Source organism: Homo sapiens, chromosome 10, assembly GCF_000001405.40.
Source record: "Homo sapiens chromosome 10, GRCh38.p14 Primary Assembly".
Lineage (NCBI taxonomy): Eukaryota > Metazoa > Chordata > Mammalia > Primates > Hominidae > Homo > Homo sapiens.
The window spans coordinates 126,066,283-126,087,564 of record NC_000010.11 but is presented as its reverse complement, the minus strand read 5'-3'; the positions used below and the strand labels follow the sequence as shown (position 1 = coordinate 126,087,564).

General features: G+C 43.6%; 1 protein-coding gene across 7 annotated transcripts in view, besides 1 other annotated feature; it reads left to right on the top strand.

The window, feature by feature from the left end:
- The window catches only part of ADAM12 (ADAM metallopeptidase domain 12), a 376,087-nt gene that overhangs the window by 300,913 nt on the left and 53,892 nt on the right, over positions 1-21,282 (top strand). For 5 of the 7 annotated variants that reach the window (NM_001288973.2, NM_003474.6, NM_001288975.2 and 2 more), the window contains exons 12-13: positions 15,911-16,088; positions 20,759-20,848. In NM_001288973.2, coding sequence (NP_001275902.1) covers positions 15,911-16,088; positions 20,759-20,848 — 268 coding nt within the window. Of the gene's footprint in view, positions 1-11,641; positions 15,334-15,910; positions 16,089-16,177; positions 17,179-20,758; positions 20,849-21,282 lie in introns of those variants that run through there. The other 2 variants (XM_017016706.2, XM_024448210.1) reach the window with 2 other exon arrangements.
- Positions 11,721-12,920: an enhancer, noted in NCBI's record as "CDK7 strongly-dependent group 2 enhancer chr10:127763214-127764413 (GRCh37/hg19 assembly coordinates)". NCBI's record gives its function as "activates an origin of replication core promoter dependent on BRD2, BRD4, P300/CBP, MED14 and CDK7 cofactors, with strong dependence on CDK7, by STARR-seq in HCT116 cells {active_cell/tissue: HCT116}" and the evidence as "EXISTENCE:reporter gene assay evidence [ECO:0000049][PMID:35650434]".

Here is a 21,282-nt window from a genome sequence, read left to right as displayed (position 1 = left end):
GAAAAGTTTAAGAAAATCTTCATTTCCTTCCTCAAAGTGTTAGGTGAAAAAATGGAAATCTTTATCCAGAGAGAGAGAAAAAAGGAGGAACAGCTACAGAATGAGGAACTCTGGTAAGATGAAAACACTACTAGTTAGAATCAATTTAATTACTCAGCCAGAGTAATGGAGTCAGCTGTACCCCGACATTATCACAGGGAAAAATGAACTGGCAGGAGGGATTCTTGAAAACAGTTCAAGAAGGGCGCATCAATATGCAGCCTGTTCTTGTTTCTTCTCCATGTAATTAGATATTGCTCACTGGAAAATGAAAGAATTTGTGTGCAATTCCATTAGAATATGAAAAGCTGCTGCCCAAGTTAGAATTGTCCTCCCCGTTAAGCTGTACACAAAATAGAGGTCAAGCTCGGGAGGCTGATTCTGTGTGGCCACTGATCCTTGAATATCCAGTTTAGGGGATATTGACCCTGAAGGACTGCATTCATGGTGTCCTGTTTCATCGATGAACTTTTTAAATTTAATTTAATTTTTTTGAGCTGAGCCTCGCTCTGTCACCTAGGCTGGAATACAGTGGCACGATCTTGGCTCACTGCAACCTCCACCTCCCCAGTTCAAGCAATTCTCCTGCCTCAGCCTCCCGAGTTGCTGGGATTACAGGTGCACACTACCAAACCCAGCTAATTTTTGTATTTTAGTAGAGACAGGGTTTCACCATGTTGGCCAGGCTGGTCTGGAACTCCTGACCTCAAGTGATCTGTGAGCCTCGGCTTCCCAAAGTGCTGGGATACAGGTGTGAGCCACGCACCTGGCCCATGGATGAACTTAGTGAGATGGTCATGACTATACCTATTTTATTTTATATATATATATATATATATATATATTTTTTTTTTTTTTTTTTTTTTTTTTTTTTGAGGCAGAGTCCATTGGGGCCATCTCGGCTCACTGCAACCTCTGCATCCCAGGTTCAAATGATTCTTGTTCCTCAGCCTCCCAAGTAGCTGGGATTACAGGCGTGCACCACCACACCTGGCTGATTCTTTGTATTTTTAGTGGAGATGGGGTTTTACCATGTTGGCCAGGCTGGTCTCAAACTGCTGGCCTCGAGTGATCCACCTGCCTTGGCCTCCTAAAGTGCTGGGATTACAGGTGTGAGCCACCGCACCTGGCCAACTATACCCATATTACTGGAGCTCAGAGTGTTAAATGAACTGCTTGCATTTTTCCAGACCGACCTAAGTAGAAGCCCCAGGACATAAAGTCAAGCGGCTTTTTCCCAGTGTGTTTGACACATGGAAGTGGCCGTGAACACATCTGGGCTTTATGAGAGAACTAAAGCTGCCTCAGTACAGAGCCATGTCCCTGTGCAACCTCTGGGAGGTGGGAGGTAGCCCCATTTTTAAGCCATTTAATTCTGCAAACCTCCTTCAATTTATGTTCCAACAGCAGAGAATGCTTTCCTGTCACTGGCTCGTTAACCCAGCATTTTATTTGTTGTACAGCATGTGTGAAAACATTTCAGCTGAAATCCTGCCAATCCTGCAATCCCCCTCCCACACACTTACCCCCATGGCTTCCTCCTCTCCCCAGGCACAGAGGCCACAGTGTAGGGTAAAGGATTATTTCTAGACTTCTCTACAACAGACAATATCCAAAAGGACTCATTTTCAGCTCCACAAGGTCAGGAATTTGTGTTTTGTTTATTGCTGAATCCCCAGCACCTAGAACAGTGCCTGACACATAGTAGAGCTCAATAAATACTTCTTGACTGAAAGGATCCATGAGCGGGTGGCTGGATGATGGATGCATGGATGGGAGGAAGGAAGGATAGATAAATAATAGGTAGATGGGTCAGTGGATGAATGGATAATGGGTGGGTGGAATGATGGATGGATGGACGGATGGACAGACAGACAAAGGATGGATGGAAAGAAGGAAAGATGGGTAGATGGATAAATCAATGATAGGTAGGTGGATAGGTGGATGAATGGATAATGGGTAGGTGGAAATGGATAATGGATAGATAGAAATGGACAGATAATGGATAGATAGATGGTACAATGGACAGATGGATAGACGTTGGCTGGGTGGGCGGATGGAGAGAGCGATGATGAGTACAGCACAATTAGATAAGTGCAGAGTGAGGTTTTCTCTTCCTTATCTGTGTAATGGCAAAATCTCTGGGGAGAACGCTCTGAGGCCACTGTCTTTTGTACTAAATCTAGCAATTGCAGCAGCAGCATTTTCATTTTTTGTTTATTCCACATCATTCTACAATGGATTTACAATAGTTTGCAATGATACACACAATACAATAAATAGAAGAAAATAAAAACAAAATAGAGCAGAGAAAACCCAGATAAATAGGAGGCAGAGTCCACTGCTTTTCTGTACATAATCCATGGAGACCTGGGTGAGGGAAACAATTTGCTTTCAAACAGTAGAGTCTTTCCAGCAGGGCCTTCCCCTGAAAGTCTTTGCTTAATTTAGCTAAAGTGGGAAGAGAGAGATCAAAAATATCAAATCTAAAAGCAGTTGTGAGCATAAGACTTTGTAGAACCATTCTCCAGTTTACAAAGATCTTTGGCATCTCCTTTCATTGTCACAGCCCTAAAAATAAAGAACAGGTACAATCGTCTCCATTTTACAGGTGAGCACACTGAGGCTCAGGAAGGCCAGAGGGCCCACAGGTGGTCAGGGTCATTCTGGATCTCAGCCTGCAGCCTCAGGCTCCTGATCCATTCTTTGGCCTTTCACTGGGTACCTGTGAGCCTTTGGCTCGCAGGCTTGGGGATGGGGAGGGTTGAGAGGGACAGCTCTTTCCCATTCTTGAGTTCCACATTGCCCTGGTGGTAACTTCAGTGTCAGTTGCTCAGTGGGGCAAGAACTGGGCACATGTAGACTTCAGCCCTGGTGGCAGGCTTGTAGATATCTACCGTGACTGCTTTTTCTATCATGTTTGATTAGAAGCCTCTATCCTGTTACAGGCTTGCTAAGTCAGCAGAAAGAACTAGCGTATTCTGTGCAGGTCTGTCTACTGGGCTAGGAAGAAAGGGTGGTACCATTTCAGACATGCCCACTGTCCATTATTAACCACTGCATCTGTCCATGTCTACGAGAGTCTGCTCCTCCAACAACCCCCACACAAATTCAGCAGTCATTTCTTGCAATGAAGCTGAGTAGCTCGTCTGATACATGGCCTCTGATGGGCTGAGGTCCTTTTAATATGGACACTGTGTCCCCCGCCCCTGGGTTCTTGGTCTTTCAGGACTTGGTGCAGGAAGAAATAGCCATCGTAGCTCAGAAGTGAAAAGTCCACTTTCTGGTAACGTCCAGAAGCTTCCTGTACATGTCTCAACTGACCAGAGCTCAGTTGGTGACTTTATTAAAAATTCTGGGAAATTATATTTGCACTTAAATTGGTTTCAGGGAGGAGGAGCAGAGGTCAAAGTTCACAAGTTAAGACCATGAATTATAATGTGCTGCAGATGGCTGCATTCTGGGGCCCAGGTGTTTGCTATTAACAATGGAAATGGCCTACTAAGGATCTTTCTGGTCATTTGCTCCTGGCCTGGTGGTTTTCTTAGCTTTCTGTGGTCCGTCTGGTTGGCCCACTGGCTCAGCGTCCAGTTATAAGGCAGTCACTTTCTGTTTCTGGAGTGGACGTGAGGATGGATTGCCCCATTAGCTTCAGCCTCGGTTCTGTTCTATCGTTTGAGCCTGTGTGGTCAGAGCTGTGTCCCTGTGCACCGCTGGGCAGGCAGAGTGGGCTGACTCAGGCCCAGCTCCCTCTCCCATCACACCATGAGGAGGAGTCACGAGGCTTTTGAGGCGGGGCGCCTATTTCCCCTGCCTGCAGCTCATTAGGGTCTCAACAGGCTTGCAGCCCTCCTCAGGTGTGCACGATCTGGCCCAGGTATCACCTCAGGCTAGCTGGATGAATCCCAAGACTGGGCCTTTGTCTTCTGTTACACCAAAGACCTTTAGGGAAGTCCTCTAAGGTACACCTGGAAGGAAGTGTAGAACCTTGGGTGTTCCTTCTGTTTACGTCTGGCTCCAGGGAGTCCCGAGGCATCGGAGCAGCTGCCTCTCCCAACCCATGGATACTACTGCTGCTGGCATAGCCATTTGTGCTGGGTCATGCCTGAGGCTGCCCAGAGGCCCTGCCCTGGGGCAGCTCCTGATAGCCCTCGAGACGGTGTGGTTGAGTGGGAAGAACACAGGCCTTCTAGTCAGATCTGTGCTTTCAGTCTCCACGCAGGAACTGCAGGGTCCCGGCAAGGAACCCAAGCTGCCTGCACTCAGCTTCCTCATCTCTAAAATAGGAGTCATAATTGGCTCCCAGAGGTGTCAGTGAGAGAATGTCTGCCAGGCTTCTGGTCCCCAGCAGGGTTTCACTAAACAAATGGTGGCTCCTGGCCAGCCCCGCTCCAGGCAGCATGGAGTAAAAAGCCCCTAAAATGAGATGACCTCCTTGCATCCACAGCAGGCCTGCCACGGCACTGAACATGAGGCCGGTCACCTGCGAGTACAAATGCCACCGCCCTGGCCTACCAGGCGTGCTACTTGGTTGCACATAAATTCTGTGTGTGGTGATTGAAAGTTTTTATTGTTGGGCATAACTGGGGAAAGACCTGAAGATTTTCCTGAAGATGGCCCTAGAATTTTTGGTCAGCAGCTTGTCCAAGCAATGTCCATTCCCCACACTGTGGTCCCCTGCCCCCTCATACTGTAAGAGGACCTCGCTCTCACTTGGGAAGAGAAGAGGGAATTCATGTTGGGCTTATGCTTCTCAAGGGACTAGGAATATGTAGAACTGGCTGTGAACTAAGAATGGCTAAGTTGTTTTTGGAAAAGCTCAGCAAGCTAGTTATGGAATGAATGATAAAAGTTGTGGCCGGCATGGTGGCTCACGCCTGTAATCCCAGCACTTTGGGAGGCCGAGGTGGGTGGATCACCCGAGGTCAGGAGTTTGAGACCAGCCTGGCCAACATGGCAAAACCCCATCTCTAATAAAAATACAAAAAAATTAGCCAGGCATGGTGGTGTGCACCTGTAATCCCAGCTACTCAGGAAGCTGAGGCAGGAGAATCGCTTGAACCCGGGAGGCGGAAGTTACGGTGAGCCGAGATCGCACCACTGAACTCCAACCTGGGCTACAGAGCGAAACTCCACATAAAAAAAAAAAAAAAAAAAAAAAACAGTCATTAGATTGTCTTCTCCAGAGAATGGATCCCACAATTTGTGGCCACGTCTCACTCTGAGCTCAGTGCCTGGACTTGGCTGTGGCCAGGAAATGGACGGAAGATGTGGGGTGAGCTCATGTGACATGAGCTTTATGAAAAGGGCCAGAAAAAAGCTTTCAGGAACAGAAGACAACCACAGCTGCGTAGCAGGTAACAGCCATCTAAATGGCGTTTTTGTTTTGTTTGTGGATTGCTTCATTGGTTGGTTGTGCTCCTAACTACATGCTCTTGTTGAGCTAAAGAAAAACTGGCCCTTCCAGAATGGAACAGGCTGTTTTGCTTCTTTGACACCATCTATGTATTAAACGGAGGGAATGATCTTTAACTGTTTGCTCATCCCTTCGCCTCCTGAATCATCTTGCTCTCAAATTTACTTGTATTTGTGGTTTTACAGTGTAAAGCGTGCTCTATTTTGGCTACAAGTACTACATTCTATACCATATTGGAAATGTTCTTGAGCACTATCATATACGGGGGGATTCGCAGTCAGGGCAACTCCCAATGGGAGAAAGAAAGACACATCTTTTGCCTGTCAGTACTAGGAGCTAGCATTTCACAGTGCTTGGAAGTTAACCAGACTTTGATCTTTTTGTTTGAAGCTCGTTTAGCCTCCACTTCAGTGCAATGAGGTAGTTGTTATCCCTATTTTATAGATGTGAAAACAGAGGCTCAATGAAGTACAGATAGGCTGCTCAGACATAGGCTTCGGACTTGAGTTCTCACCACACGCCCAGGTAAAGAAGAGCCTCCTGGGTCTGCCCAATCTGTGGCATCTGCTGTCAGGAGAAAAACAAAACTCCATTTTGGTCTGCAAAAAGAAACCAGTGGGAAGCAGAATGTCAGCAACATATTTTCCAAAACCAGTTAGCCCTTTACCATCTAATCATTTGTCAGCTGTGGACGATATGAGGTTGTTTTTTGTTTTGTTTTGTTTTTTTCCCCCAATCAGTTTAAACTGAAAAATCTGGATGGATTCCCATCCCCGGTTCCCTGCAACTTTGGCTTTTCCTATCACACAGTTATGTCGGCTCCAAGCTGTTCTCAGCCGCTGCCTGGCTGTTCCATCCTTCTTCCTCGGTCACTTCCACTCCTTTCCTGCCGTCAGCACTCAGACAGATGTGAGCCCCTGAGCTTGGAGGTGGGGAACCTAGACTCAGTGCGTGTTTATTAATGAGGCCGCAGAGTCACAGGAAGCAGCAGGACCCTGACCTGCAGCCCCCTTGAATCCAGCCTGATTATAGCTGGTTTCTCCAGACGCCTAATTTCCAGCAAGAAAAGCAGTTGTCTCCGAATCATACCCAGAGAGCTTTTGCAAGTCAGATAACTCCCGACTTCTACTGTCGAGGTTGATAAATTGGCCTAGTGTGATTCACCCCCAAGAATATAGCAGTGAGACGCACAATAGGCTCCTACAAGAAAAGAACCTTCTGACTGCAGATTTTTCAAAGTAAAAGTAAGCCCTAATAATATTTTACTTGGCAGCTTTGTGATGGCTAAAATATGAAGCTGTGACTGCCTTTATGGTGGGGAGCTGTAAGTGGCATTCCTCTTTTTAAAAGTGGTGTTTTTTTCCCCAAAATCACCCAGCTGTCTGTTTCATCCTCTTTTTATTTTTAACCTTGCATTCAACATGGTAAACTTGCCTCAAGTGTCCCTGGTAGTTAAATATTAGAGAAAAAGGAAAGCAAGGCTAACAAAAGAGGTCACATCGTAGCGGGGGCCACAGTCACCCTGCCACGGCTTTGGAGATAAATTCTCTGCCTCTGAGCTGAAAGCAGCACTTTTTTTTCCTGGGCCGCAGGTATCACCATTTTAAAGCATTCTCACGCCAAGGGAAAGGATCGTGCTAAAGGGCTTCTTTCCTGAGTAATTCTCCAGTTTTATTGCTTTGCACCAGTCTCTCACTGCTATAGGTCACTTCAGTTAGCTGCTGTCCTGGCACATGTGGGATAATTTATTAGACATGTTAAAAAGTACATTGTGATGAGCTTGCCAAAAGCTACGGAAGAAACTGAGGCTTGTCTTTTTAACCACAGACGAGGGGCTGTATGAGATCTTTGATGTCATGAGCAACTACCTGGCCCAAGTCAATGTTCTTTTCATGGATGCTCCGGGGAATAAAGCTGTTAAATAAGAAAAATACAAGCACAAAGGAGGCACAATGACCATGTACCATACTTTGGATTTGGAAGCAGGTGGAAGGGAAACATCACTCTGTTCACAACCAGAACTTTTCCTACACTTTAATTACTGTGCAGTATGAGGATTAGTCAATTTCACATAACACTTCCAGGTACTTGAAAATTCATTTCTGATATGAAGTTTGTTTATAAGACAGATACTCTTGGGATTTTTAGCACATGCCTAAAATCAGATCAGTAGCATCTTGCCAGCATCCTCTCTCTGGCATGGCTAAGTGAGCCATAGCAGTCTTATCAACGATCGCACTGACAGATCCTGCCTATGATTCCTTGCCTTGCCTGTTGTCCATTGGCACATCTTTCATGTGATCACAAAATCAGGTCAGGTTTTCAAAATGCCATACATTGGGCTTTTCTTAGAAGATGGGACAAGAGAGCAAAACAGAATTATTTTTTAGGATATGACAAGTGGCCCATGGTGAGTCTAGATTGCATTTTTTATTGTCACGACACAAATAGGTACAACAGCATTTGAATTTTAAATCTAGGGAAGTTGTTTCCAGTCTCTAATGGGCATCAAAATCACCTGGATCATTAACAGATGAGCAGATAGCAAATTGTGGTATGGTCTCACTTGCAATGGAATATCATCCAGCCATAAGAAGGAATGAGGTTCCGATGCATGCTACCATGTGGCTGAACCTCGAGAACACTATTCTAAGGGAAAGGAGCCAAACACAAAAGGCCACATGGTGTAGGATTCCGTGTACATGAAATGAACAGAACAGGCGATCTGTAGAGACAGAAAGCAGATTCGTGGTTGGCAGGGGCTGGGTGGGGAATGGAGAATGAGGAGTGATGGCTTCATGGATGTGGGGTTTGTTTGAGGGGTGGGGGGAAGTTCTGCAGTTAGTAGTGATGGCTACACAACATTGTGAATGTGCTGGAAAAAAACATTGGATTACATATTTCGAAGTGACTTAAAGGATGAATTTTATGTTGTGTAAATTCAACATCAATTTAGCAAATCGTCTGCAGAGCTTATTAAAATACAGGTTGCTAGGCCCCTACCTTGAGTTTTCTGACTTAGTAGGTCTGAGTGGGGCTTGAGAATGTGCATTTCTAGAAAGTTCCTGGTGCTGCTTGTCCTGGGAGCACACTTTGAGAACCACTGGTCCAGGCATATGTGGGATCACAGCAGGATTTGTCTCCTGTGTTTAAATCGGTACATTGAGGATTAATCAATCACCTTCTGTGTTTCAGCATTCACTGCTGGTCATCCAGTGCTGAACTGGCACTGGTAATAAAGAAAATGGTTTTTAGTACCTGAACGTGGAATCATAAGAATTGGTGAAATCTAGTACTGCCATCCCCTAACTGTGAACTGTCAAATCCCTTCACCTCATTTGCAAATGGAGCAATAATAACTGTTTCATTGGATTGTTCCAAAATTTTAAATTCAAAAAAAAGTATAAAAGAAGAAAAATATTACCATGAGAAAGCACCACCATATCACCTAGCTAAAAGCAGGTACTCCATAAATAGTTATGCCAAAAAAATTATATATTTTAACTCAATTACTAGTCTTGGGAATTTATAATGTTGTGGCCAGAATATGGTGACACATGAAGGCAGCGAGAACTTACAACACAGCCTTGGACTGCACAGTTCCACTCAGACTCCATTTATGTGGCATAAAAGATATGTTTCTGGGGGTTTGGGACTTCAAAGACCGTTTCTGGAGGAGTGGAATTATATGGGCCTTGGAGAACGGCTGGAGAGGAAATGAGATAGGAGGGTGGGCACATCCCTTAAGGAAGGAGCTTGGCAAGGGGGGCATGGGACCAGGTTCAGGTCATATTGGAATTGGGATCCTCTTCAGTGCTTTGAGTATAATAGACACTTGAAAACTATTGCTCCATAAGTGAGTGAATAAATGAGAGAGTTGTGAATTTGCCACTCAAAGTTGTATTCTGCCATCATCAGAGGTATGTAGGCAGAGTCAGCACCTGGGGAGCAGGTGATGCACCTGGCCTTGCTGAGCATTGGCACCTGCTTTGCTCTAGGCACTAGGTAACCAGTGGCTACTTAGGATGTAGAAAATATTCTAATATGTGTGGATTAAGATGGTGTTACCATTAGAGGAATCTAATATTCGCTACTGGCAAATTTCCCTTATCTCTTAAGATTTGAAGTAATTTTCATTTATTAAATTTTTTGTATTGGGGGGCAGTCATTGGGTTTGCTGTAAGTTTTCCATACTTAGTTCTGTGTCTTGATCAAATGAGACTATCTTAGAGCAGCAAAAGGGAGATGAGGAGCAGACCTTTGCCTGCTTAAAAAGCAGTTTGCTTTAAAAAAATAAAAAGGTGGGGGAATAAGGGTTTGGAGTTCTTATGAAAAACACCTTTAAATCTTTAATCCATCTTGAGTTAATTTTTGTAAATGGTGAGAGGTAGGGGTTCAGTTTCAATCTTCTGCATATGGTTAGCCAGTTATCCCAGCAGCATTTATTATTGAATAGGGAGTCCTTTCACCATTGTTTATTTTTGTCAATTTTTGTCAAAGATTAGATGGTTATAGGTGTCGGGGTTTATTTCTGGGGTCTCTATTCTGTTCCATTGGTCTATGTGTCTGTTTTTGTACCACTACCATGCTGTTTTGGTTACTGTAGCCTTATAATATAGTTTAAAGTCAGATAATATGATACCTCTGGCTTTGTTCTTTTTGCCTAAGATAGCTTTGGTTATTCAGGCTCCTTTTTGGTTCCATATGAATTTTAGGATAGTTTTTTCTAATTCTGTGAAAAATTACATTGTTATTTACATTGTAATCTGTACATTGCTTTGGGTAGTATGAACATGTTAACAATATTGATTCTTCCAATCCATGAGCATGGAATATTTTTTTGTTTATTTGGGTCATCTCTGATTTCTTTCAGCAGTGTTTTGTAGTTCTCTTATAGAGAACTTTCCTCTCCTTGGCTAGATAGATTCCTAGGTATTTCCTTTTTCTGTGTGACTATTGCAAATGGGATTGTGTTCTTGATTTTGTTCTCAGCTAGAACATTATTGGTGTAGAGAAATGCTACTGGTTTTTGTACATTGATTTTGTATCCTGAAACTTTACTGAGTTCATTTATCAGCTCCAGGAGCCTTTTGGCAGAATTTTTAGCATTTTCTATGTATAGAATTATATTGTCAGCAAAGAGAGAAAGTTTGACTTCTTCTTTTCCTATTTGGATGCCTTTTATTTTGGCTTTGGCAAATAATTTATGGCTGAGTCCCCAAAAGCAATTGCAACATAAACAAAAATTGACAAGTGGGACCTAATTAAAGAGCTTCTGCACAGCCAAAGAAATTACCAACAGACAGCCTACAGAATGGGAGAAAATATTCACAAACTATGCATCTGACAAAGGTCTAATATCCAGAATCTACAAGGAACTTAAATCAACAAGTAAAAAACAAATAGTTCAATTTAAAAATGGGCAAAGGACATAAACAGACACCTCTCAAAAGGAGACATACAAGTGACCATATGAAAAAATGTTCAACAACACTAATCATCAGGGAAATGCAAATCAAAACCACAGTGAGATACCATCTCACACCAGTCAGAATGGCGATTATTAAAAAGTCAGAAATAACAGATGCTGGCAAGGCTAGCCACTGTGGAAAGCAGTTTGGCAGTTTCTCGAAGAACTTAAAACAGAACTCCCATTTGACCCAGCAACCCCACTACTGTGTATATATCCAAAAGAAAATAACTCATTCTACCAAAAAGACACGTGCCCTCATACTTTCATTATAGCGCTATTCACAATAGCGAAGACATGGAATCAACCTAGGTGCCCTTCAACAGTGGATTGGATAAAGAAAACGTGGTATGGAATACTACACAGCCATCAAAAGAACGAAATTATGTCCTTTGCAGCAACATGGATGGAGCCGGAGGCCATTATCCTAAGCAAATTAGTGCAAGAATAGCAAGTCAAATACCACGTGTTCTCACTTATAAGTGGGCACTAAACATTGAATACACGTAGATGTAAAGATGAGTACAACAGACACTGGGGACTATTAGATGGGGGAGGATGGGAGGGGAGCAAGAGCTGAAAAACCACCTATTGGGTACTATGCTCACTACCTGGGTGACAGGACCCCAGACCCCAGCATCATGCAATATATCCATGTGACAAATTTGCACATGTACCCCTTCATTGCTAATAAAAGTTGAAATTATTTAAAATAAATAAAAATACCTTCAGTCATTCCCAGTGCCTGGCCCATACAGAGGCACAGCTCCCAGTGTATTGACACTCCATGGGATCTTCTCACCATCAGCATGACCTTGACCTATCTAAGAATGATGCCAAGTAGAAAATGGGTTGCCTCTCTGGGTGTGTGTCTGCAGGAAGAGCAGACTGTTTCCCACTGTTGAGTAAGTTCCTCCAGGCCAGTCCTGTCTGCAGACACTTGTACCAGCTCTTTCCCGAGGTGCACTCACACCTTCTTCCCTTCGGGTGAGGGGCTCAAATGACCCTCTTACTGGTGAGGTTTCCTGGTGAGGTCCACTGTCCCTAAAAGTTCAATACACACCCTCTTCCCTTGCTCTTTTATTTTTTTCTCCTTAATTCTACTCTTTCTAACTCATTCTGTTCCCTTAGCTTGCCTATTATCTGTTGGCCCCACTGAATGCAAGCTCCATGAGGGCTGAGATTTTTTTGTTCTCTTCATTCCCATATCCCCAAAGCCTAGAACAATGCCTGGCACCTAGTCGGTGTTGAATAAATACTTGGGGAATAATGGAATGATGTGTGATAGGCTGTTCTGATTTTCTTCCTCTAAAGCCTGACTTCCTCTAACTGCCCAAATAGGGTTCATAAATATCCTATCAGAGTGAATAGTCACCTGCCTCCTTGCTGAGAAATCATGAAAGGATGGGATGAGTAATGACATCCTACAGGTAGAAAATACTTCTCAGCCTCATCACCATTCGTCATCAAAAGTAAGTTCTTGAACAATAAACGAGGCATTTTTTTCTTCATTACATAGAGGAAATGGTAGCGATATTGGCTGACCCAGTCCGAGGAAATGGCAGGAATGTTTGTGGAAGGGCTGCTGGACTCCCCATTGACCTTGCTGGGTCGCCTGAGCAAGTCAGAAAAACCCCAGGTTGGTGGGAAGAGAAGCCACTCACACCTGCTCATGGCTGGAGCTGTCACCCATGGTCAGGAGTTGCTGGAAGTTTGAATTGTCCTGACCTGGAAGGCAGGCGGCATGCTGGTGAGCTCAGGCCATGTGGAAAGGAGCCCTGAGAAAGGATCTGTTCAGTGTTGGTGAATTCATCAAGACCTCATTTCGCATCTGAGGAGGACATCGCTACTTTCCTTTTAAAACAGAGGCATCCCTGAAGAATTAATGCTAGGATGCTGTTCCTCAGAGCAAGGTTGAAAACCCGTGAATTGGATGACGACCATTTATGTATGCATGATTCTAAATGAGAAAGAATTTTGTTAACACTTGGGAGTTGTCCTTCAGCAGAATGAGGAAAAGCTAAGGGAAGTAGAAATAGATTATTACACAGATCACTATACAGTCTGACAACACCCAATGCAGACACAAAAATACAATGATGATCTTTGCCAATGATGATCTGTTCTGTTCTCCTCTCCTACACATTCTGAAGTTTAAATCCTGGACTTAAACTGTTCTCCTTCATCCTATTTGGATGGGAAACCCCCAAAAAACCCAATGTTTGTGTGTTTGTTGCTTTGAAAGGAATGAGATGGGGAAGGCATGTCTGAGCTTAGTGAACGGAGCTGGTCTCAGCTCTCCAATCCCTGGGGTCTACGGACGTTCTCTGCTCCTTTGGGAAACAGGCCAATTCAGACCACTCTTTTCCAGGCTTCTCTTAATTGCTGTGATTCTGGCTATAAACCCTTCCTGAGACTTAACATTTATCCTAGAGTCTTTCCTAATTAACTCTAATATTTTCTAGAAATCACTTCCCTTCTAGAATGAACTGATAATGGTTTGTCACAGAACTAAGTTGCGTATCACTGAGTGAGAATGATGTTTCATCTCCTAGATCAGGCCTGGAGACATATATGTCCTAGGAAAACTCTCAGATACAGAAGAAGTTTCCATCTGTACCTCCATGAAATTGATTTTTATTTCTTTCTTTCTTTCTTTTTGCAAAGAGAAGAACTGCTCTTAAGTCCCTGTGTAATATACCAATTACTTCAATATAATACCCTTCTAAATTGCAAAAACATTATCATTTTTCTTGTGAATCATTGTTTGAACCTAGTTAGTATATTTTGATACCAGGAATAACCAGTCTGTCTGCCAGGGGAAGTTACAAAGATTTCAAGATTGTTACAGCACTATGAGTAAGTCCTGGTATGTTGCCTTTGCATCCACAGAGGAGCACTTTCATTTATTAATTTATTTGTAAATTAGAATTATTAATATACTCCAGAGTTAATAGCCCGAGGTTGATAGAAACCACTTGGAGGGAAAACTAATGCAGGAACAGAAAACCAAATACTGCATGTTCTCATTTATAAGTGGGAGCTAACATTGAGTACATATGGATGCAAAGAAGGGAACAACAGACACTGGGAAAGGAGAGGATCAAAAGACTCCCTGTGGAGAACTGTGCTTATTGCCTGGGTGATGAAATAATCTGTACACCAAACCTCGCTAACATGCAGTCTACCTACATAACAAACCTGCCCATGTACCCCTGAACCTACAATTAAAGTTAAAAAAAAAAAGTTAAGGGCCAGGCTTAAAGGCTCATGCCTATAATCCCAGCACTTTGGGAGGCCGAGGCGGGCAGATCACCTGAGCTCAGGAGTTTGAGGCCAGCCTGGCCAACATGGTGAAACCCCATCTCTACTAAAAATACAAAATTAGCCAGGCATGGTGGTGGGCGCCTGTAATCCCAGCTACTTGAGAGGCTGAGGCAGGAGAGTTACTTGAATCCGGGAGGCGGAGGTTGCAGTGAGACACTGCACTCCAGCATGGGCAACAGAGTGAGACTCGGTCTCAGAAAATGAAGTTAAGAAAAAATAAATACCTGGTCATTAAAAATCTGTGCCTAATAGTATGCCTTATATACTTGGGGAAGAAAAGGGAAACCACTCGGAGAGGATGGTGCAGTGTTATCAGTTTGGTCCTGGAAATCAGCATGATCTCAAAATTCACCAAGCTCAATCATTAAGTGGCCGCTGGTCTACCATCATCAGGGGAGCGTAGCAGCTTGCGTTGGTTTGGCCAATTGATTGAGATCCAGTTCTAATGTCATCCTTATAAATGTCTCCATTGGGAGAGGGTGCTTGGGTTTGCTGGACAGCAGCCCCTGCTCCCTCTCTAAGTAATAAAACTTTCTGGGTTTCTGGCATGCTTATACCTTAATAATCCTTGCTGCCTCAAGACATGGGAAAATGCATTTGTAAAAAGTGAGACACTCTGTGTATGTTGGATAACACTGGCTGCTTTGGAATCAAACCCCAAATGCTCAGTGGGTTACCATATTAGAAGCGTGTTTTCCTTCTGTATGATGCTCTGAGGCTCTAGGCTGCAGGTGGCCTTCCTCCATACAGTGAGTTAGGACCAGATGCCATGCCTGACACCTCCATCTCCTAAAACCGTGGGATACTCTAATCTCAGCTGGCAGATGGGGAAAGAAAGGATATGAAGAAGGAATACTCGCTTAAATACCATCAGCCAAAAGTGACCTATATCACTTTTGTTCATGTTCTAGTGCCAAGAATGTCATACAGCCCACCCAGGTACATGGGGGCTGGGCAGCCCTTCTAGAGCACAGAAGGGGAGCATAACTTTGCTGGGGAGTTGGCTGACCCTGCCACACCCGGTTGTTTAGAGGCACCCGGTTGTTTAGACCCTGCCACACCGTGGAATTTAGAGACAAGGGTAAGACCTGCATTTCTGGATCACCTCCATTCTCTTACAACTGTGCTGGGGGAAGATAGGGACTTGGCCTTTATAGACCTGAATGCCAGCATCAGCAGGCCCTGCCCTACAGTGGAACCATGTGTCCTTGGAACCATGGAATTAATAAACACCGTCATTTGTACTCTTTTCTTCTTTGCACTTTCCAATAAGGACATTGTTATGTGTTTGTATTACAAGCTACAGTCCCTACGAATTCACTTTTCGTAGCATCATTTCACCCAGAACTATTAATAATGTCTTTAATGAGACTCTGCCTGAACTTATTGATTTGAAAACCATCGAAAGATCATTTCTTTTTTGATAAAGCACTTCTTCATCAGCCGCGTTGGCACTGTACGGAATGGATGTCGGGATGGAACTGAATGTGCCTCACTTGACACTGCATATCTGAGTTTTTTGATATGCATTGTTCATTGAGACCACCAGTGAACACCTGGGCAGATGTGGCCAGTGGGTGCCTTCTTGTGGGCACAAGAAGGGCAGACAAAGCCATTCCATGCCCTGTGACTTACTGTTCTGGGCTCTCCTTTCTCAGGTACCCATTTCCCATGGTGTTCAGCAGTTGCAGCAGGAAGGACTTGGAGACCAGCCTGGAGAAAGGAATGGGGGTGTGCCTGTTTAACCTGCCGGAAGTCAGGGAGTCTTTCGGGGGCCAGAAGTGTGGGAACAGATTTGTGGAAGAAGGAGAGGAGTGTGACTGTGGGGAGCCAGAGGTAAGAACCATTCCCAGAACAAGGATACAAGAAGACTTGTATCCTCGGCTAGGCAAAGAAGAGAGAACTTGGAGGAACTGTACAGCCAGATGAAAGTACTAGAACTCAGGAAGGAAGAGTCCTATCTGCCCATCCTGAACAAGCCCCGTGAGCTAGGGTGGCTTTCTTGAATTTTAACTATTGCATGGAATAAGTGATCACTTCATTTAAAAAGATAAATAATCTTATCGAAGGGTACAGCATTCTCAGCAAGATGAGGCCAAAAACAATAAAAAAAAGTGTTTAGCTTTGAGTTTGACAGAGAAGAAAGCCCTGGAATTCTAGCTTCAAATAGCTAATAAGCACCATTTCTTTTTCTTCATAAGGTGTGCTACCAGAGGGGAATCTGAATAAGCAGCATTCATTTTTAACCAGGAGCTTCCTCTGCAGTTGAAATTCTGCCTTGCTGCTGCAGACGCCTCTGTATGCATGACTTGAGGCTTCTGCCTCTCGAGCTTGTAGCTTTCAGAAGCAATAAGTGAAGGCAGGGAACGTTTTTATCTAGCACAGGGCTTAACCCTGTTTTCCAGCCAATATCAGGAAATGTCCTTGTTTTAATAGGGCCCAAGATAATCACTATAAAAATTATAAAAGTCACTTTTTAATCTCTGAATAATCTCAAGAAGGAAAGAGAGAAGACAGCATGAGACCTCCTAGTAAAACAGGTGCCCCCTCGAAGTCTGGAGGAGGTTGTGTTTAGAATAAATCAAAGCAAGCAGTTGTACAGCAGGCAGCCTCCATGTGGGACTCCCTCCCCGAGAGTTTATGCAAGCTGAAATAGTAGACAAGTTCAAGGCAGGCTTAGCTAAATTCACAGATGGACTTAATGAGGGCTTAGGAAGAGCATCTCCAAGGGCTGCTCTGAAAGAGGGAGTTTAGGGTGGAGGAGAAATCGTGTTGAGACTGGCGCATCCGGTATATTCCTGTGTTCATCACACAAACAACTGGCAAACAGAATGTTCATCATATCCCCATCTTCAAGTCTCTGAGGTTTTCCATACCAGGAGGAATGAGCTTGGTCTGACAGTTTCTGCAAGAACGCTGGAAGTATGTAAGTATTGGGTGGGAGTAAGGGGGGATGTGATGTAGAAGTGGTTTCTTCAAATGTTTTTATGCCCTTGCCAAACTCAGAACTTAACCATGATAATGACATTGTCTGGAGGGGTGTCTAATTTTGCTCACCATGAGCAGGGAATGGTTGCTGTGTAGGAGCAAGTCCTAATTATAGTGTTACAGAAACTCTTCTCAAGATTAGCAGAGGAAAACTTAAAACCATCATGGGTTGGGGTATGCAAAGGGGAAATTCCTTGTAGGCCTTGTTAATTTCTTAAAGGAAAAAATGAATTAGTTTAAGTTTCTCACCTTTCTCAGGAGAGGCCATGTTGGCTGAAAATGGTTTGTCTTTGAACTTCTTATGATTGTTTGTTCATCTAAATAAATTTGACAGCTCTTCATGAAGCCATGAACTCTCGGGTTTGGAATGATTTCGTTAGCAGTCATTTACTCCATATGCCACCAGCAGCAGCCACATCACTGCTACAATCACGACCACCATTGCTAACATCACCATCTCCACAATCGCCACCACCACCTCCTCCACCCAACATCATCACCATTTCTCTCATGACCATCATCACCATATCACTGCCACTGCCGCCACCGTCATCACTACAGCCCTCACCATCACCCCACTATTGTAACCACTGCCATCTCCACAGCTACTGCCACCACCGTGGCCACACCAGTATCCACATCGCTACCAGCATCACTGCTACCATCCCCACCCCTATCATTATCCCCACCACCACCATCACATCAGCAAATGCTTGAGTGCCTAAAATGTGTCAGCCACTCATATTCTGATCCTCCCTCTTTTCTCCATGAAGGAGTCATGCGGCTTGACAGGGTGCTGTCTCGCCAGGTGGCATGTTGCATTATAGGGTAGCTTTGATTATTACAAACTCCCTCCTTGTACAGAGCCAAACTGCTTGCATGCAGTTACCAACTTTGTATTTCTGCGGTTAAGGTCCTTATTTTGTAGGATAACTTCTTGATATTTGAAGATAGCTCTCATTCCCCTCATCCAAAGTTCTTTCTTTGAAAGTTACAGGTGAGCCTTTTGCCTCACTTTTTAGATTTGCTTTTTTTTATTTTTTGCTTTTCAAAAAATAGTTTCAAGTAGTTATTATTAGAAAATAATAGTTTCAAGGTTCAAACTCAAATTGTGTTTGGCAGTGTGACAACCTATTTACAGTTTCCAAACTGCTTTGCCTAAGAATTTTAGGCAAAAAGACTTGTTAACCTGGGTTCTTTATCCCCCTACCCAGTGCTCAGGCCCTGGTTATTCTGCATGCCCTTACATCAGATTGACCTGGCCATTCCCTGGCCCACAGAGGGACCCAGTGTGTTACGACATCAGGGAAGGAGTAGTAAATGGGATCCGAAAAACAACTGCCAGCACCCAATGGAAACCAGCTTCTCCCTTGCTCCCAGAAATAATCTCCATCATTTTCAAGAAGATGGCTTCTAGTCTTCTCCCAGTTCATTGTGATTAAGAATCTGTGTCTGCTACCTACAACCTGAGAATGACAATTAGGGCTTTGCAGAGAATTCTCTAATGCTTTCATTATTCTTTCTTCTTTGGAGACTTGGTATTCATTGGCTCTGTTGGACTTCTCTATTGAGGACTAAAATAATCAATGTAGCAGCAGATGAAGAATGTGTCTCTTCTGAGAAATATGGTACTGCAGAAGAAATAGATCCTGGGTGGTTTGAAGGCAGGTTGATTGCTGAAGCCTTCCCGGACAGGGCATTGGATTTATATCAACATAAGGAAATCCTGACAACTCACTCATTCTTCCAGCTAACAGGATTGGGAAAGCAGCCTTATCTCCTTGTTTAAAGTCAATAGGATGCCAGTAGCTTGCGAATATCTTTTAAACTTAGTTATCTTTCTCACATTATCATCCCCTTTGAAGTCAGAGCCATTTGGCATGGCTGCATTTCCATTTGAGCTGCTGCTTATATTACTGGGTGATTTGAGAGAGGGGGGAAGATATTTCTTAAAGAATTTTAGGACCCAGATTTAGGATGGCTGATTTAACATGGAATTTCAAGAAAACTTGTAATTTGGTAAATGTGTCATCCATAGAGCCATTTAGACCATAAGGACCAGGATAGCAGTGGTGTGCATTTGATGACACTGATTTAAAAATGCAATTAATGGACTACTTTTTTTAAAAAAAGTTCCTAAACTCTTTTAGAATTGTAAGTCCACAAGTTAGAAACCCTTACTGTCATAAAAGTTACAGCTATGACTTCTGGTTGACAGTTTTATCTTATTGTATATATTACGCATTCTGGATGTTTATAAAGTCCTCAAGCAAATTTAAAATTTAATAACTTTGGAAGTCTGTATAATAGAATCAAATGGAACATCAAATGAGAGCATAATTAGAGTTTTACATAGGATATAGTTTCAGTATCTGGGTTTGCCATAAATCTTCTGGATTATTGACAAAATTTTATTAATTGCATTTATAAAACTCATGATAAATCCATTCAAGAAAGATGGTTTTCAGGAGTAAAGTATTATATTATTAAACTAGTATGTGATTAGCTTCACCCCAGCCAATGGTATATAAATTTTTCAAAGCATATCATATACTGGATAAAATAAAAGAACATTGATAAATTACTCAGTATTAAAGATCTATGAACTGTTCCATCTTATGATAATTACATTTCTTCTAAAATGTGTAAACTGCAGTTACTTGAATGTTCTCAAGTACAAGGACTTCACTTGATAAATGCGTGCAGGCCTTTTGTTGAGAACTGAGCGAAAAATGTCAATCTCTTGTTTTTGTTAGGAAAAAATGGAAGCAATGGGTACGTGTGGAGCACAGCATTATAAAGGAGTTACTTTCTTTTCTCACTTTTGTTTCAGAGAGGACAGTACATCTAATGCTTGAACTATCCATTTAAATCCCTCGCAAATCAATGGGCACAGCCCACAGGCCTCCTGCCGGCCACTTGCTTGTTATAAGGTCCATTTCTGACTTTCCGAGTGATGGAATTGTCAGGCCAGACAACTTACCCGGGCTGCTCAAGGGTCTCATCCACAACCCTGGCGAGATTGCAGGGAATTGTGGTTGAAACCACTGGTTTGACTTCATTTCCTGCCAGTACTCTCTAAATCAAAAAAGGTTCATTTTTGAAGAGTACAGATTGTATGCATCTATGTATATTTTTGATTGGGTAATTTCAAAGTCCTCCAGGGATCCTGATGCAGTCCACTGCAATGAGATCCGCCTGGACACCCCTCTACAGAGCCCCAGTGTACTGCTGACTAGAGTGATGTCCCCAGCCGGCCAGCCTATGTTACAACTGCTTTACCTTTCATGAGGGCACTTGTGTGCTACTGGCTTTTTCCAGGGACTCGTAGACCCAGTTGGTTCATAAAAAGCAGAAGCTTTGCTTTCCTAACAGACGGAAACAGGCAGGTGTGCAGTTCAGGAGCTGGGCCCTCTTGGTCTTTCTTGCTTTTTGCAGCCATTTAAGGTGTGATGTTTGCATTCAGTGAGTGCATACTCCATAAGACCCTGTCAAACAAATGCCATTCCCCTTTCCAGGAATGTATGAATCGCTGCTGCAATGCCACCACCTGTACCCTGAAGCCGGACGCTGTGTGCGCACATGGGCTGTGCTGTGAAGACTGCCAGGTGAGTCACCGGAGCTACAACTTGACCCCCAGGTCGCCAACAGGTTCAGGTGGTTCAGATCTGATGCAGGGCAAGCAGTGTGGCTGGAAGGTTTCCCAGCACTCACCACAGCACGCACCATCCCTCCTTCTCACGCCAGTTGGTGTTACCCACCTCTTACTGTTTAGCTTCCAATCTTGGGGTGAAATGCACGCTTCAGTTGCCAGTCACTTGTGTTTATTTATTTAGGGGCTGACAACTGATCAGACCGATAAACCCTAGTTCAACTTTAAATGCTCCATTTGTGCCGTCAGAGGCACATGGGGTTCTACTATGCTGACAAGAAGAGCAAGGCGAGAACAAGTCCCCATCCACTGTCACTCAGGTTCCCCCAGGTTCATCTTCTTGATCCCGCGGACATCTGCCTGCTGGCTTGTCCCAGAAGTTTTGTATAA